Consider the following 16984-nt stretch of genomic DNA (forward strand, 5'->3'; position numbering starts at 1 on the left):
GTTGAGGCTGAGAGAATCTGACCTGAGCTAAGAAATCAGGTACTTTCCTCACACAAGAGGGAGTCACCAATCTGGCCATTCCCAGTGGGACCTGGTTTTGTGTCCCAAGGCTGGGTCTTGGAGGTGTTTTGTTGAATCTTGAAATTATTGTAGGTAGGGCTGCTGCTAGCTCGTAAGGCAGCATTGTGCAAGTGAGACAAAGGCAGACCTTCTGGCAGGGGCAGCCCCCAACACCCTCCAGCAGGGTGCAAGCCTTGGCCAGCAGAGCAGCAGCTGGGTTTCAGTGCCCAGGTATCCCTGGGAAGTGCCATTGTGCAGGACACAACCTGCCCAACTGCACATGTCCAAGGCATGATGGTATTCTTGTTACAACCTTCTACCCTTTATATCTTCCTTTCCTCTTTCTTTGATTCCTTTTTTCCCCAAAACCATTGACCTAGTTGCCCCGGGGCTACATTTACCAAGTACATTGAGACACTGTTCTGTGATCATATGCCATTTTCTTCTACCTCACTGTGATTAATAAGCCTCTCCTTGTATTGTCCAGGCAGGGAAGAGGTATTTGCTATAGACTCACAGAGTTCTGCAACAATCGCCTCCTTTAATTCATTAGATTCTAATTTGCCTCAATTATTTTAATTCCTTGCATGTAATAAAAGCGGTTGGATTCTTTGCCCACTGCAGTCTTACAAAGAACACCTCGTATTATTCATTTCTTTCCTCAAAGCACATGTTATTGGTGCTTACCTTGTGCTAGGGGCTGGGAAGATAAAGATGAATGAATAAGACAACATCCCTGCCCTTGAGAAACTCATAATCTAGTTGGGGAGTGAGGCATGTAAACAGATAAATCACAGTGCAGGAGTGTGTTTGCTGCAGGAAGGACAGAAGCAGGGAAGCTGCTGGTGGAACGCCTGCTGCTGGGGTGCAATCTAGATGCAAGGAAGGCTTTGCTGAGGAACTGTCATTTGAGCCATCTCTTAGGATGAGTAGATGTTTACTCATCCTAAGGGAAAGAAAGGCAGGAAGGAGAATAGATGCTAAGTCAGGAGTGAATATGGCATATTCAGGGTAAGGTGGGAGGTTCACCTAGCTGGAGCCTGGGGTATGTGAAGGCTGGGGCCTGAAGGGAGCTGGGACTTTATGCCTGAGGAGTGTAGGGTTTATACTGTGTGTAAGAGGCCAACAGAGGGCCTGTGAACGGGGTGTGACATTATCACATTTTCCTTTATAGAATACACTCCACATGGGAGGGTGGCCTGGTAGAGGAGGCTCTCTGGTTAGACAGTCCTGGGTTTTAATCTTGGCACTGCTACCTCCTTGGGTGAGTCATTTAATCTCCTCATGCCTCCACTTTCTCATTAAAAAATAGGGATGAGGGGCTGGATGCGGTGGCTCATGCCTGTAATCCCAGCACTTTGGGAGGCCGAGGCGGGTGGATCACCTGAGGTCGGGAGTTCAAGACCAGCCTGACCAACACGGAGAAACCCCATCTCTACCAAAAATACAAAATTAGCTGGATGTGGTGGCACATGCTTGTAATCCCAGCTACTTGGGGGCTGAGGCAGGAGAATTGCTTGAACCCGGGAGGCGGAGGTTGTGGTGAGCCGAGATCGCGCCATTGCACTCCAACCTGGGCAACAAGAGCAAAACTCTCAATCAGTCAATCAATAAAAATTAAAAAAATAGGGATGAGGATGGCAATGCCTACTTAATGTGGCTGTAGAATGGATTAAATGATTAAATGAGATGATATCAATAACAGAGTTTCCCACTGGTGGAATAAGTCCAGAACCCATAAATAGGTTCCAGGTGTGCTGGAAACCCTGGCTCCTTCAGTGCCCTAGGAGCCTGGACAGAGCCATGGGCAGCCTCATCTGTTTACTCCAGGGAGCCTTGTAAACATCTTCTGTGTGTGCACCATAGCATAAGTAAAGTTGGAAACCAGTGGTCTACAGAGCCTTGGCGAGTCCCTCCTATCTCGTAAGTCCTTAAACAATGTGATTGTTGACTGTATCAGGACAACTACTACAGGAGGAGGGGAGACAGAGAGTAGGTGCTGGACTCCAGGGACATTTCTGAAGCAGACCTGCAGAATTTGGTGACCAGCTGGATGTCAGGAAGGCAGGGCGCCCTTGAGGAGGAGGCAGCATTTGCAATGACTGCAGGATTTATGATGTAGACTGGATGGGAGGTGATGCTATTAATGGAAATTGTTATGGAAATTAGAGCGTGTGGGGTTGGAGGTGTGAATGTGAATGGAGGAAGTGGAGACTGGCTGGTAGACTCCTTTTTCAACAAGTTTTGCAAGTTAAGGAAGGAGGATGACAGGATGAAGGTATGAGGAGGAGGTGTGCTTAGGGGGAATGCTGGGGACATGTGAGAGGCTTCAGGATGCTTGTGGGCTAAAGGAAAAGAGGCAGAAAAGTTGAAAAATGGAAGATGCAGGAAGAGTGCATACTACTCTCTAGAACGTGCCTCTTGGACAGCGTCAGTCCCATGGGAGGAGCATCTGCCAATAACTGGCAACTGGGCAGTTGTCCAGATATGATTTACAATAAGGCATCAGTTTCATGAGGCACTGTCTAAATTATTGCACTTCACCAATTGCAGGTTCCCTGCTGACAGTGGGCTAGGGGGTCAAACAGTTCAATCATGTGCACCACTTATAAATTGAAAATCAGTGGGGTGCAAAATGGATTACCATCAAAATCCATTCAGGTGCAAAACCAAATTTAAAACCCCCTAACCTTTAAAAATCACCCCTTTCCTGATTCTTCACAATGCTCTGACATTGAGTCTTTATATCCCCGAGATGAGCAAGCGTCAATAGATATGGCTGCAAGAAACCAAAAGTAATGGGGGAAGAGCTCCCCACCGTGCCTTCCTTTTGGAATTTGCAAACATAAAGGGTGGATTTATGCATTAATACACTGGCAATTTTGTTAGTTTCTCCAAGGCAGTGGTTCTCAAACTTAAGTGTGTAATAAAATCCCTGGAGGGCTGATTTAAATTCAGATTGCCAGGCTCTACTTCCTAGTTTGACTCAGTAGGTCTGGGGTTGAGCCTGAGAAGTTGCACTTGTAGCAAGTTCCTAGGGAATGCTGATGTTGCCAGCCCTGGGACCACACTTTGAGAATCTCTGCCCTAAGATCTAAATTTGACAATCTAAGATCTATTTTGACAATCGACTAGTAAAGCATGCTTTGATTGGTGTTGAGTCTGTTAATAAATCAAAATTTTGTTCAAGAAACCTGAAAAGAGACTAGTTCAAAGAGACACGGATTGATCTGAGTGCTTTGTGTTCAGAGGTGAGGTTGGGAGGATGAGGATGGGAGGATGGAGGCCCCCACCCACCATTCCCCCAGCTCACCATTCCAGAAAATTGTGTGTGCCCAAAGCACAAATGATATCATTAAGGCTTAACAAATCCTGCTGTCTGCTGGTCCCGGGGTGGAAACTGTTGATGTCCTTTGATGCCAAACTTCCTCTCTTGGCTTGAAAGTTGATTTTCTTGGGAATGTTAGACAAGCTGCTATCAGCCTAAACATTGGTTCTTCCCACCTCTGCATGATCCCAAAGACGTATTTTTCCATCTAAATCAATGCTATTTGATTGTAGTTCTACTCTCTTGCTCTTTTTGAGTTGAAGGTATTGTCTTTCTGTAGTTGTCACCAGGCCCAATATGAAAGAAGTCTTCTTCTCCAGGATGGAAAAATTAATCCCAGAACTAGTCCAGATGTGGTTGCTGCTTCCTTAACATTTTGTTTCCTGTTTCTCTTTTCTAGGAGAAATTGAGCGATGTACGTACATCAAATACCACTACTCCTCAGCAACCATCCCCAGGAACCTCACTTTCAATATCACGAAGACCATCCGTCAGGATGAGTGGCATGCCCTACGTAAGTGCACCTGAGTCTCAGTGGCTGTGACTGTGCTGTGAGGTCCCCTTTGGAGGGATTGGAGGATTGGATGTGCCTCCTTCTGGGATCTGTGGATGGTCTCAGAACATTGAGATGGTTCCATAAAGTGCCAATATCTTTGGGTTAGAATTGCCTCAGTTGGTTTTGATTGCATTATAAATTTGGGGAGTTTGCTTCTAAAATTAAAGAAAGAACCAACCGTCAAAACTTCGGAAACAACTAGCAATTAGACAGTCATCTTATTTCACTACCCTGGTAGGCATGTAAGATTTCACCTACCTGACTGAACCAACTCTTGGGATTTATTAATAATTCCAGCCTGTCTTCAAGTTGCTTGGAATATTATTGTGGTAACCTGTTAGTCCCTTGGGTTGCATTTGTAAAGGATGAGACCAGCTGGTGGTTGCAGGATGCATCACATTGGAGATTTGCATCTGGGTGGGTCACTAAGAAGTAGGATCTGGTCTTTAAAGCTACGGTTTACCCTCAAATGATAGGTTTTGGAACCTTGGTTCATGTGCAATTCCTCAGCAAAGATCAGAATATCTGTGTGCATTGGTTAGGGCATTTCTTGGCCAGGGATCCTCAGAGACTTAAATGACAACGAGAGGGTTAGTTCATGAGCAAACAGAGTTTGTTGGCTATTTTTACTTTTCTGCGCCATTGGGATACATTGCTTGTCTGTGGCAGGAGAGCTCTGCTTCCTGCAGGCACAGTTCTTCAAGCTGACACATTCCTACTGTCAGCAGGTTCATGCTGCCTCTGTTGATTTGTCATGCATTCATAGTCCATCTTTTTTCACCAGATTCTGAAAGGTTAAGATTCTGTTTTCATCTATATGTGAAGGAGGATTCTTTTATTCCTGACAGTAAAGATCCCTTTATTGGTAAACTTTGAAGATGGTAGATCTCTAGATGGAAAACATCTCTCTTCTCCTTATAGGTGCTTAGTTATCTTTTTCGTCGATTAGGCCCACCAGGTGTATTCTACTTTTGGGATTGGCTTTAATTAAACCACCACAGCTTCGGGTGGGAGTGGGAGGTGAAAGAGACAAGTAAAATTAAACAGAACAATCATTCATTGGTTTCAAGAAGTATATTGTGGCTGCGTGTCCAGATGATTGTCACTAAATACTCCTGGCCTGAAATGATAGAGCAGGTGCCAATGGATGAGATAGCATTCACCGGGCTGTTTCCCCTACAAGATTTATCCATTACTAGAGACACTAAGCAGCACATGGGGATGGAGAGCTAATGTTCAAAGAGGATTCCCATGTGCTGGCATTGAGCTAAGCATACCACATATTTAATTTCAATGTTATATTTGCCTTAGAGACACTAGTCATCAGGGTTATTAATTTCCTTTTCAAGGTAGACATGTGAGGACTAAAATGTAGAAATATACAATAGCTGCTTATTTCCCACAATGTATTGGTCTAATATAGTCCCTTCTTAGGAGCCTAAAAGGGATGTTCAAGATTGATAAGTCCTGTGGATTAACCATTGAAATCTAACTTAAGTTATGGGGGTCGTAATAGGATTCAGAATCTAAGAAGGAAGAAATTATTGACATAGCAGCTTGAATTCAAATTAACTCCATTTAACCAAAGTTGCTGTGTTTCTTTTTGTGCCAGTGAATACCGAGGCCACAGAGGGCTCTTTAGGGAGCTCTAGTTCAGGGGTGGAGGAGGGTGGGGGATGGGGAGAGACATTCATAATACAAGTAATTACAAGGCAATGTGATAATTACAATATAGTAGAATTGCTTTAAGCAAGTAAGATAATTTGGAAATTTTTTAGCAAGAAGGAAAATTATTTTAGTGTAAATTGCACAGATACTCTTCAGGGAAACCTGGTAGAACTCTTTTGACTGCACACACTGTAGATACCTGGAATTCAAAGAGATTACCTAGGGAGGCATCGCTGGAAACATGTCACGAGGCATTGGCAAAGACAGAGAGGAGAGGATAATGCCAAGCTTTGTGGGGTCTTCTTTGAGCCCTGCGTGTCTCCAGGTTCTTATTCCCAAACTGTAGTGCTGTAGGGTTCTGCAAAATCTAGTGTGCAGCCTATGCTGTGAACTGGGGTGACAGATCTATTTTTAACTGATAAAAGCCATCTCAACGATTGATATGTGAAAAGGTCTCGGGCACTTGGTGTGGGTGAAGTTGAGGCCACCTTTTGGTGAGGGATTCATCTGCCTCTTTCACAAAGCCGCCTAATGGGCTGTTAAGCAGAGAGAGGGAACATTTGCCATTTCTGACATCGATGACAGTTATTTTTAGCCAGAGGGCAGGTGAGCATCTGTCACAACTGAATTTGGTACTAAGTGTAATTGGGAATGCTGGCAAGAGGGGAAGCATAGGAAGTGTCGATTTTAATTTTTAGAGGTCAGATATTGATGACATTAGGTGGGAAGTAGGCACATAAGCCCCCTTTAAAATAAAGTAGAAATGATTAAATATTAGCCAACTCCTGATCAAACATTGGAAATGAAAAAAAATCAGTTTGATTTCTTTACTTGGTTTGAGAGTCCTGCACTCTTTAAGTGGAATCAAGTTAATTCTTTTCATTCTAGATTGGTTATCATCTTTATTATTATTATTATTATTATTTTTTGAGATGGAGTCTCACTCTGTTGCCCAGGCTGGAGTGCAGTGGCACAATCTTGGCTCACTGAAACCTCTGGCTCCTGGGTTCATGCGATTCTCCTGCCTCAGCCTCCTGAGTAGCTGGGACTACAGGCGTGTGCCACCATGCCCAGCTAACTTCTGTATTTTTAGTAGAGACAGGGTTTGACCATGTTGGCCAGGCTGGTCTCAAATTCCTGACCTCAAGTGATCCACCCGCCTCAGCCTTCCAAAGTGCTGGGATTACAGGCATGAGCCACCGTGCCTGGTCTGGTTATCATTTTATAATCTGACCATAATATCTTGTATTCTGTAATTTTTCCTACTATATAGTTTTTGCCAAAGGAAAGAAATTTGATTTTTTTCCTGAAACACTTTCTGGCAAATATTTGGACTTTGGTTAAATTTGAATTATATACTTTCCTTTCTTTCTTTCTTTCTTTCTTTCTTTCTTTCTTTCTTTCTTTCTTTCTTTCTTTCTTTCTTTTCTTTTCTTTTCTTTCTCTTTCTTTCTTTTCCTCCTTCCTTCCTTCCTTTCCTTCTTTCTTTCTTTCTTTCTTTTTTTTTTTTTGACAGAGTCTTGTTCTGTTGCCCAGGCTGGAAGTAGCTGGGATTACAGGCATGTGCCACCATGCCTGTATAATTTTTGTATTTTCAGTAGAGACCGGATTTCACCATGTTGGCCAGGCTGGTCTTGAACTCCTGGCCTCAAGAGATCCACCTGCCTCAGCCTTTCAAAGTGCTGGGATTACAGGTGTGAGCCACTGTCCCTGACCTGAATTACATACTTTTCATCAGGAATTTGCATGTGGCCTCATCATCAACCATTGATATAGAAATAAAATTTTCAAGTAGGAAAAGGCACAATTTGGTTTAAAACTACATTGTGGTTTTTGAAAAGTTAAGCCTACCAATGGGAGGCTTAAATGCTGGTGTGTGCGCTCATACACCTTATGGTCGGGTGACTAGCAGGTGAAAGGGTAGAAGATTCTGGAGGCCACTAGGCTTACAAATCTAATTGTAAAGAAAGAATAAACTCCATAGGGAGTAAAGGCCAGAGGATGAAGCCTGTGTGTGTGTGTGTGTGTGTGTGTGCGCGCGCGCGCGCGTGTGTGTGTGTGGGTGTGTGGTGGGGAAGAAGGGTGATCTTTGTGGATGAGGTTCAAATGCTGAGTTGTCCAGGTGAACTGGTGTGTGTGTGTGTGGTAGGGAAGAAGGGTGATCTTTGTGGATGAGGTTCAAATGCTGAGTTGTCTGGGTGAACTGGTGACCAGGTTCTCACTCTGGCTTTTTAGGTGATTGCTGGTGGGTACTGTGGGTGCCTTTCGCCTTCTCACCCTGGGAAAAGGCAGAATTCCTTTTGGAGTTGGGATCCATGTCCTTAGTCCACCCAGGCCTGGTGCAGCCCATCTGCCTTCCTACCCACCCACTATCTGGCTTGAAGTCCCAGCAGCCCTGGGTGGGCTGTGGTGTGGTGCGGTGCCCTGGGGTGCAGTGCAAAGCGAGGTAGAACGGCATTTATCCTGCCTCTGTGGGCTCCAAGGGTAAGCTGCATGCCTGACCCAGATCCTCTGGCTGCCTCCAGGACACAGCGGGACAGGCAAGTGTCACTGGCCAGTGAGGAGGGGACAGGCAGCTGCAGGAGATGAGCTGGGCTGGTGCTGCTCCTGGGTGGGCTGTCTGGTTTACGTTTTAAATATAACAGAATCTGATTGACAAGGTCAGGGGAAGTGGTGGCATTTTAAATGGAGCTGCTTCACTCTCTCACTAGACTATGTCTTTATATGCTTTTCATATCCCACAGTCTATGGTAGCAGTGCTTGTTTGGAGAGTTCGGTGTCCTTGCATGACCCCCAGGAGCTCCTGAGGCCATCCCCAGTAGCTCTGCTCTTGTTCTCCCCACCACAGGCATTGCCCTTTCAGCACAGGTGGGGCCTGGGCCTTTCCCAGTGTGGCACAACAAGGGGAGGTGGCTGATAGGGAGTGGGGGGTCTGCGACAGGACCTGGGCAGCCAGGGTGGGCTATATCAGAGGAAGCTGAGAAAACAGGGGATGGGAAGATGTCGCTGAGAGGTGAGTGCATCCGTCCCAGGAAGGAACTGGGATGGCATGGAGCTGGGCCTTGGCTGCCCCAGGTGAGGACCCCAGGGAGGCTGGCAGAGGGCACGGCAGCAGAGCCTGCCTGAGGTTGCAGGGCAGACACCCATTGGAAGGTATTAGCTTTACTTCAGCCTGGGTGACAGAGCGAGACTCCATCTCAAATAATACCTGCCTGAGGTTGCAGGGCAGACACCCATTGGAAGGTATTAGAAGTGGGTCTTCTTTGCCCCTTGATCTGCTGATCTGCTGGGCAGAGCCTCTGTGGGCAGCTGTTACTAAGGTTCCCTCAGGGTCAGATCCCTGAGACGCGGACTCACTGTGACGTGAGCTCAGATGTTCTCATTCTGCTTGGCGTTTTCAAGATGGAGGTTTTTGCTCCCAGTAGATTGCCCCTGGCAGCGAGAATCAGGGAGCTGGAGCTCTACTTTCCTGCAATCAGATGCTCTCTGCTATCTTTCGAGTTGCTGAGAGCCAAGAAACCCAGAGGTGTTTTTTGAAGCTTTCTTCTGTCAGGACTGAGGGTTCAACTAATTAGATTGGGTAGTCACACAGCACATTTCCAGCTGGCCAGGGAGGGAAAGAGTGAGAGACGATTTCCCCTCCGAGACTTCCCTACTCCCTACCCCCAACCCCGCAGACACACAGACACGAGCTCACTCATCGGCCCTGTGGCTGTTGCCTCAGGCAAGCTGAGCACATACCAGGACCAGGCAGAACAGGCTTCTCATCTACAGCATTGGGGGTCCTCGCCTTCACCAGCACAGTGGATCCTTGCACACCTGGGGCAGAGAACGTCAGTGCCAAGGAGCCATCCTGAAGCAGGGTACAGCCTGGCTGGCAGAGGGAGGGAGAAGAGAGGAGAAGAGGAGGGAGGGAGCAGTGGGGATGGAGGAAGGGAGGCAGGAGACCAAGACTTTGTGGATGAGCAGGGACATTTTAGTGTCCATACCACTAGGAGGGACAAGAAGTAAAAATCCAGAACTGTCTCACTTACTGCAGACATGTGGATGACACACTTGGCTCCCTGTCCCCACAGCTCTTGATCTCTCACCACTGCCTGTGGGTTGGCTCAGTCTTAAGGGACCAGTCCTGACCCCAGGCTGGTGTATGGTGGGAAGCCCAGCGTGTCCTGGTGCTCTGGTGTGGATCTTGGGGCAGGACTCTTAACTTATGTTTCTTGGCTAAGCCCAACCCGGCCCCCCACACCTGGACTCTCCGGTGCCCTCTTCCTCACCCTCTCCCTTTCCAGAATTAGAGGGTCCTGCCCTTGAACCCCAGGGTCCCTGGTGCTGTCTAGACTCTCTCCAGCCACCCTGGGTCCTCCCCTCCCCACTGGCATCAACCTTCTCACCCTGAACTTGTGTTGGCTCTTTCCCTGATGGTACCTGCCTTCCCTTTCCCAGTGGACTCAGCTGGCCAGTTCTAGCCCAGCCTGCTCCAATGTAGAATGGCCACCTTCTGAACTTTCTTCCCACTCAGAACTCTCTGGCTTTCTCAGCCTGGGAGCTGCCTAGACACCTGGTCCGTCCTCCCCCAGCCATCCTTGTTATGAGAAGATGAATGCTGTGGACCAAAGGGCTTGGGATGAAACTAACAGTAATAACAACAGTAAGCACCTCTTTTTGTTCAGTCAGCTGTAATGCTGCTCAGAGGATCACTCGACGTTTCCTCCCAGGAGTCCCTCCCGTGTTGTTGTGGCTCCTTTGCAGATGAGGTAACCGAGCCAGTGGGAGGGGCTGCCTAGAGGTCCCATCTCAGACCTCAGAGGAATCCGAGGGTGAGGGCTCAGAATCCAGGCCTGAGCTCCAGTAGGGTCCCTCCAGCTATTTTTTTCTTCATGTTTTTGGCTGATGTTATGGAAAACAGCCTAATGAGGTAAACATCCCAGACATTAGAAGCTCAGGTCCCCTGCAGCATCAGCCATTTTCCTTCTCCCACATTCGCATCGGTGCTCAGCCAGTATGAGGCTCTTACTGTTTGCGATCTGTTGTTAGCTGCCTCTTGCTTGCAAGACTGGGATCCACAGGGGTCATCACTAGCAAGAAACCACCTCCTTGCCCCAGAACTAGAAAAACTTGGTAGCAAGAAGACTCAGCCAACAGCGTGTCATCATAGGTTGCCTTGAGTCCTGAAGTCTTTGCTTTTTGCAAACCATTCCTTGTGTCTCTGCCCCAACCCGGCCCCTGCAGAGAATCTTGTAAACCTTTCAGTATACCCACTGCCTTGTGCCTGTCCTCCCAGAGCTCTGGTGGTATTTATGCACCAGGCCAGGCAGAGAACACAAACCCCTTAATGTGATATTGCACCAAGATCTGTTCTTGCAGAAGTAACTCATGCCAGGACACTTCCTTTCCCTCTCAGCTTTCCTGCCTGTCAAAACTGACCTCTTATTTGTCCCATTCCCTCAGGTTTCTGTTGGAGAACAGGCTTACTGATTTGATGAACATGCTTGAGTTAGGGGGTTAATGTGTTCTTGGATTACCTTCCCTGGATAGCATTTTTATTTTTCAGGAGGCCTGCCCCAAGGAATGATGGCAAGGGAATTATAGGTAACGTAGAGACGCTTTAAAATTATGAATGTTGGGCCAGGCATGGTGTCTCGTGCCTGAAATCCCAACACTTTGGGAGGCCGAGACAGCTGGATCACTTGAGATCAGGGTTCGAGACCAGTCTGGCTAACATAGTGAAACTCGTCTTTACTAAAAATACAAAAATTAGCTGGGCGTGGTGACATATGCCATACTTGGGAGGCTGAGGCAGAGGCAGGAGAATTGCTTGAACCTGGGAGGTGGAGTTTGCAGTGAGTGGAGCTCGTGCTGCTTTACTTCAGCCTGGGTGACAGTGAAACTCCATCTCAAATAATAATAATAATAATAATAATAATAATAATAATAATAATAATAATAAAATAATAAATGCATGTGCATGTACAGCTGTGGGTCCCACCTACTTAGATAGCTGGCCTGGCTGGGGGTCAGTGATTAAAATGCGCTGTAGCATGGCTGCCTATACAAGGGCGCCCTCTACATGGATAAGAGGGAGAGTTTATTTTTGAGATGACCTAGGGGGAGGGAAGGGAGGAGGCCTGGAGTAGGGGTGGGAGGGAGTACAGTACAGCCTTTTCTGTTAAAAACATCCACGTCCTGAACAAAACCTAAGAACCACTGTGCTGGTATAATTACAGTCTTCAAGCCACAATTCATGTGAACGCACAGGTCCAATTTTGTGCTGGGAATTAGTTGGAAGTCTGGCCTGGAGGCATTCTCTCAGCTTCTGCAGATTGGAAGTGGTTTTCTTCTGGCTGAGCGCACTGATACGGACACCACACCATGAAGGAGAACTGGGAGAACAACCCCACTGTCCGCCTTCATCCATTTGTTCATTTGTTCATTCAATGGTTGTGGAGTGTCTGTTCTGTGAGAACCCCCATGTTGGGTGCTGGAGGGGATATTAAAAGGTATTCTGCTTCCCAAATTGGATGATATATTTCCAGGTGCCAACCAGGTAAGGGCTCAAATTACTTGTTGCTTAATGTTTAAACATTTAAGACTACCTAGAGAGTGCAGGCTAATGCTGCTGACATGTACACTTCATGGGTCCCAACTTCCATACTTAAATCAGCAAGGATTCATTGCAGGGGAAAAAAAACAATATATAAGACAAACTACCTTATCTCAGTAAGAGGCATGGCCTGCATTTTACAGCGAGGGAAAAGTGGGCATCATCTAGGACTTGCCTCTTCTTTGTCCTCTAGGGGAACTGTCCCAGTTCCAGGTGCTGAAAAGGGAGCTTAATATGGCAGGTGATTATTCTTTTCAAAGTTAAGACAGTCTGAGCTCAGCTTCCGGGCAAACTGCTGCAGTGAGGAAGAGGAACAGGAACAGGTGCTCAGCACTCTGGCTGGCAGAAACAGCTCAGTGATGGAGAATCTGGGTTAGGTAAGACATGGATGTCAGAGCAGGCAGATACCTGCATCAATAAAGTCAGTCAGCAGGTATAAGTCCTGTAGGTGCTACTTTGGCATTCCAGACTGAATGAGTGAACTCCCAGGGAGGACTCTTAGCCAAAGGAAGAAAAGCCCCAGCTTTACAAGAAATTTGGAATAGAAGGGTATTAGAATAAGAAATAGACAATGGTGGCTGAGAGAGTAGCCCACTTATAAGAACCAGGGCACACAAGGCAGGTGTGCTATGCCCAGAACAAGGTGGGAGGCTGTTATAGTCAGAGCACCAGTCACAAACAGTGATTGGGTTTGATCCTGGATTTTGGGGGATGGGTGTTCTGAAGATGGGGAGGGCAGCAGGAAGGTGGCTGGGAGCAAGGATGGGGTAACAGAGCAAGTAACCAAGTTCATGTTGTGTGATGAAAGTCCTACCAGCGTCAAGGGCAGTGCTTCCCAGATGGGGTCGATTGCCTGGAAGTGTCTGCATTATCTGGGGACTTGTTTGAAATGCAAATTCTTAGAGCCCAGCCTAACCTACTGAGTCAGAATCTCTAAGGGTGGGACCCAAGAATCTGTAAGACCTTTAACACATGAAGGTTTGAGAGCTCTTGGTCTGGAGAGCATTGGTGTGGATCGTAGTGGTCAGAGAAGGGTCAGGGCAGGAGAGCATGGGTAGGCTTGGGATGGGAGATGGAATATAGCAAATTAGCACAACCTCTCAGGGAAGCAGGACCTGTATTTGTGTGCTGTCTGTTTACTGGCTATAGATTTGGTAATTTACTTTCCTTCCATATTTCTTGTGGTTAGTTGAATACAACAGCATGGAAGAGGGAGGTGATTTTTTGTTTTGTATTGTGTGTGTTAGCTAAGGGAATCTTCCTAATATCTAGCCTCCAAATCTCTATCTTATGTTTTTGATGTACTCCTTTAATGGGAAACAGGATTCAAGCCCCATGGAGTCCAGCAGATATTGGATTGAGTTCCACCTCTGCCACTGTCTAGGTATATGACTCTTGGAAACTATTTAAGTGGTTTGACCCCAGTACACTCATTTGTAAAGCAGAGATGGTAATACCTGCCTTGAGGATTAATATAAAGTTTAAATTAGGTAAAATAATTCATGCACAATCTCTGAGTAAGTTTGCAAAGTCTGATGCCAGCCAACATGAGAAGCTATTATTATTGGAAGGCAGGGGTCCCATACTGAGGTCCCATGGGAGCTGGGGGGAATGCCTCTGAAATGACATTTCATCAACTCAGGGGCTTTTCTGTTTGACTCTGTGCAACCTGTGCAGGTGAATTGGCCTTGTATGTGGCTGTTTGTCTTGGTGAGTGTTGGGGGTTTGCTGTCTGCACAGGTATGTGTGATGGGAGCTTGCATTAGGTGTTTACAATGTAGGAGTAGAAAGTGGCTGACTATTATTTACTGGCAAGTGTAGCATATTGTGAAAGGAGTTTCAGGGCAGAGAATTATCAGTGTTTGAGGTCCTCAGTGTGGTAGCAGCAGCAGAAGCAGCTCTTTAATTTATCAGTTGTGCCCAATAAGAATGCAATTTAGACACAAACAGTCTCTAAAAGAAGATTTATGTACTTAGTGTCTAAAAAGTAACATTTCAGAGCTTTGAAGATAAATACAATGTGAGTACAACGTATTGAAATTGTTGAGGGGAACCAAAAGACTCGCCTGTCTAGCCCGGCCCTGCCTTCCGTTTGCTATGATCAGATCCTCTTCTATTCTATTTCAGATGTGTGAAAACACACATCTGAAAGGAGGATGCTGCAAGAATGTTGGACATAGAGAGAAAGGAGGGCCCAACAATAGGATAAGAGCTGCGGTTAGGGTGGAGGGGAGGCCATAGAGGTGACATTACTATACTGTATTACTATCCCCTTATTTTCATCTCTTTGCTCTGGTTCTGGTGCTGGCTATGTCATAGATTGGATTATGGGATTATGGAGTTGGGGTTACCAGGCAGAGCTAAGATGTTTGGGGTGCATGGAAGGGCCTCTTCAGATGATTCTGAGAGGAGAACCCCTTCCTTTCTTAGGCTTTGGAGCTGATGTTCTCTGCTGTTTTCACTCTTTTTTTTTTTTTTTTTGTATTTCCCTGATATCTAACTCTGGTTTAACTTTGGAGGTCATAGCCAAGAGGCCTGCAGGCTTCTGGGTCATTCTGGCTTGCCTAGAGTAGTTGTGCATGGAATTCAGCCTTCCACGTGCTGAGCTAGAGTTCTGGGAGTTTGGGGGTGGGGATTGAAAGCCTAGTGGTACTTATCTTGTTTCACTCTCTATGCATATCCATCTGAGGAGCCTTCTGGGGAAGGTTGGCACAGAATACAGTTCAAACCTTCCTAGGTCCTTTACAATTCAACGTTCCAATCAGCACCATCCAATAGAACTCCCTGTAGTGATGGAAATATTCTGTAAGTCTGTGTGATAGCCACAAGCCACAAGTGGCTACTGAACCCTTGAAATATGACTATTTCAACTGAGGAACAGAATTTCAAATTTTACTTATAAACTGACGTGGTTTGACTGTGTCCCCACCCAAATCTCACCTTAAATTGTAGCTCCCATAATTCTCACCTGTTGTGGGAGGGGCCGGTGGGAGATAATTGAATCATGGGGGCGGTTTCCCCCATAATGTTCTCATTGTAGTGAATAAGTCTCACGAGATCTGATGTTTTTATAAAGCGTTTCCCGTTTTGCTTGGCTCTCATTCCCTCTTGTGTGCTGCCATGTTAAGACGTGCCTTTTGCCTTCTGCCATGATTGTGAGGCCTCCGTAGTCATGTGGAACTGTGAGTCCATTAAACCTGTTTTTCTTTATAAATTACCCAGTCTTGGTTATGTTTCTATCAGCAGAGTGAAAACAGACTAATACATAAACCAACTTAAATTTGTGTGTGACACATGGCCAGCAGCTACCATATCAGACAGAGCAGTTCCAAACAAGCAGTGCTTGTATTTCTTTTACGGATTCGATCTCCAAGTTATAGACTCTTGATTACAAGCATTCATACATTAGAAACAAAACTTTATAGGTGACCTGGATGCCCCAGCCATTTTCGGGGTATAGGAATGCACATTTCCTTGAGTTCCCAGATTCTTGCTCACCACTCAGCCCTTGGGCTCTCAGCAGCCCCAATCCCAGAGCTACTTGGGGTGTTACTAGGCCTTTCTGTCAATCTGTGTCCTCTGCAAGTAAGGAGAGAGAGGCAGCAGGGCAAAGATCTCAACATTTACCCAAGCCAACTCTGGGCCAGGCTGTCGCAGGCTGAGTTCCCTGGGAAGTGGACTCAGATGGAGTTCAGTTCCTTAGGACTCATGCCTGTAGAAGGGCAGGGGAGGAATCAGGTTCTGGCAGAAGGAGAAGTCAGGCTGGGATGTGGGTGCGATGACACCCCTTGGAGAGCTCTCGTCCTAGAGCGACCCTTCAAAGTCTCCTGAATGAGGTTGAAATGGCTGGGTCTTTACACTCCCACATTGGGCACTTCTTGGATATAGGCACTGGAAGTGGAGTGACCTTGAGTATGTGGCTCTGGGTGTATGAGCAATCTCTAAAGGGATTGACCGCTAAAGGTTGACAGCCTTTCTAGAACCTGGCAGCAAGTCTTTCCTTGCAGGGAGGTCTGGAAGGTGCACCACAGTGCCTACCATGCGGGCATTTGTCTGATGCAATCAAGGTTGCCAGTGATGGAATTGAGACAAGAGATCTAATACTTCCCCCAGAGCTACAAGAAGAGGCAGGACTAGAATCCAGACAGTTGTGACTGCAAAATTCATGCTCTTTCCTTACCGCCAGGGAGCCCCACACATATCTCGTGCGGCAGGCCTACTGCCCTTCTCTTCTCCCAAAGGACCTCCCTGCTCCATCCTTCACCCCTCCCCCACCATAGGCTCTATCTTATTATCTAAAGTAAGTGAAGAACCCTTCTCTTTGTCCATTTGTTCAAAAGAAATGAAAGAAAGCTATTTATTTTCCACTTCTCAGTTTTTCTTTTTCATTTAATTACTGCTATCACAACAGGAATTTTTTTTTCTATTCCTTTTCATTGCAAATGTATAGTACTTCATTGACATTATGAGTTAAATAGGCTTTTGTGGATAGCTAGAAACCCAGTCATCATTTATAACAGACAGGACTTCTCTGGAAATGGGTTCTGAATTCTAAATAATTGCCTCAACAAATGAGATTTTGGAATGGAATTCATTGCAAAGCTGGAGACTTACATCTTTCTATTTTCCAGTCAGTTTTGCCTCTGAATGGGCTTGCCATCTCTGCCCCCTACCCCAGCTACATCTGTCATTTTTAGACTGGATCCCCCAAATTGGATACCCTCAACTCCCATGATGAACGTTCAGACTTCTCTGTCCCTTGTAGCCAGCC

General features: G+C 46.3%; 1 protein-coding gene across 4 annotated transcripts in view; it reads left to right on the forward strand.

Annotated features, from left to right (window-relative positions):
- Positions 1-16984, forward strand: part of TMEM178B (transmembrane protein 178B) — a 437233-nt gene that overhangs the window by 134739 nt on the left and 285510 nt on the right. For all 4 annotated transcript variants that reach the window (XR_001744505.2, XM_017011636.2, NM_001195278.2 and 1 more), the window contains exon 2: positions 3789-3902. Coding sequence is in view for 3 of the 4 variants with exons in the window: in XM_017011636.2 (XP_016867125.1) it covers positions 3789-3902 (114 nt within the window). In the remaining variant the exon portion in view is untranslated. The remainder of the gene's footprint in view (positions 1-3788; positions 3903-16984) is intronic.

The sequence above is a fragment of the Homo sapiens genome, chromosome 7 (assembly GCF_000001405.40).
Source record: "Homo sapiens chromosome 7, GRCh38.p14 Primary Assembly".
Classification (NCBI taxonomy): domain Eukaryota; kingdom Metazoa; phylum Chordata; class Mammalia; order Primates; family Hominidae; genus Homo; species Homo sapiens.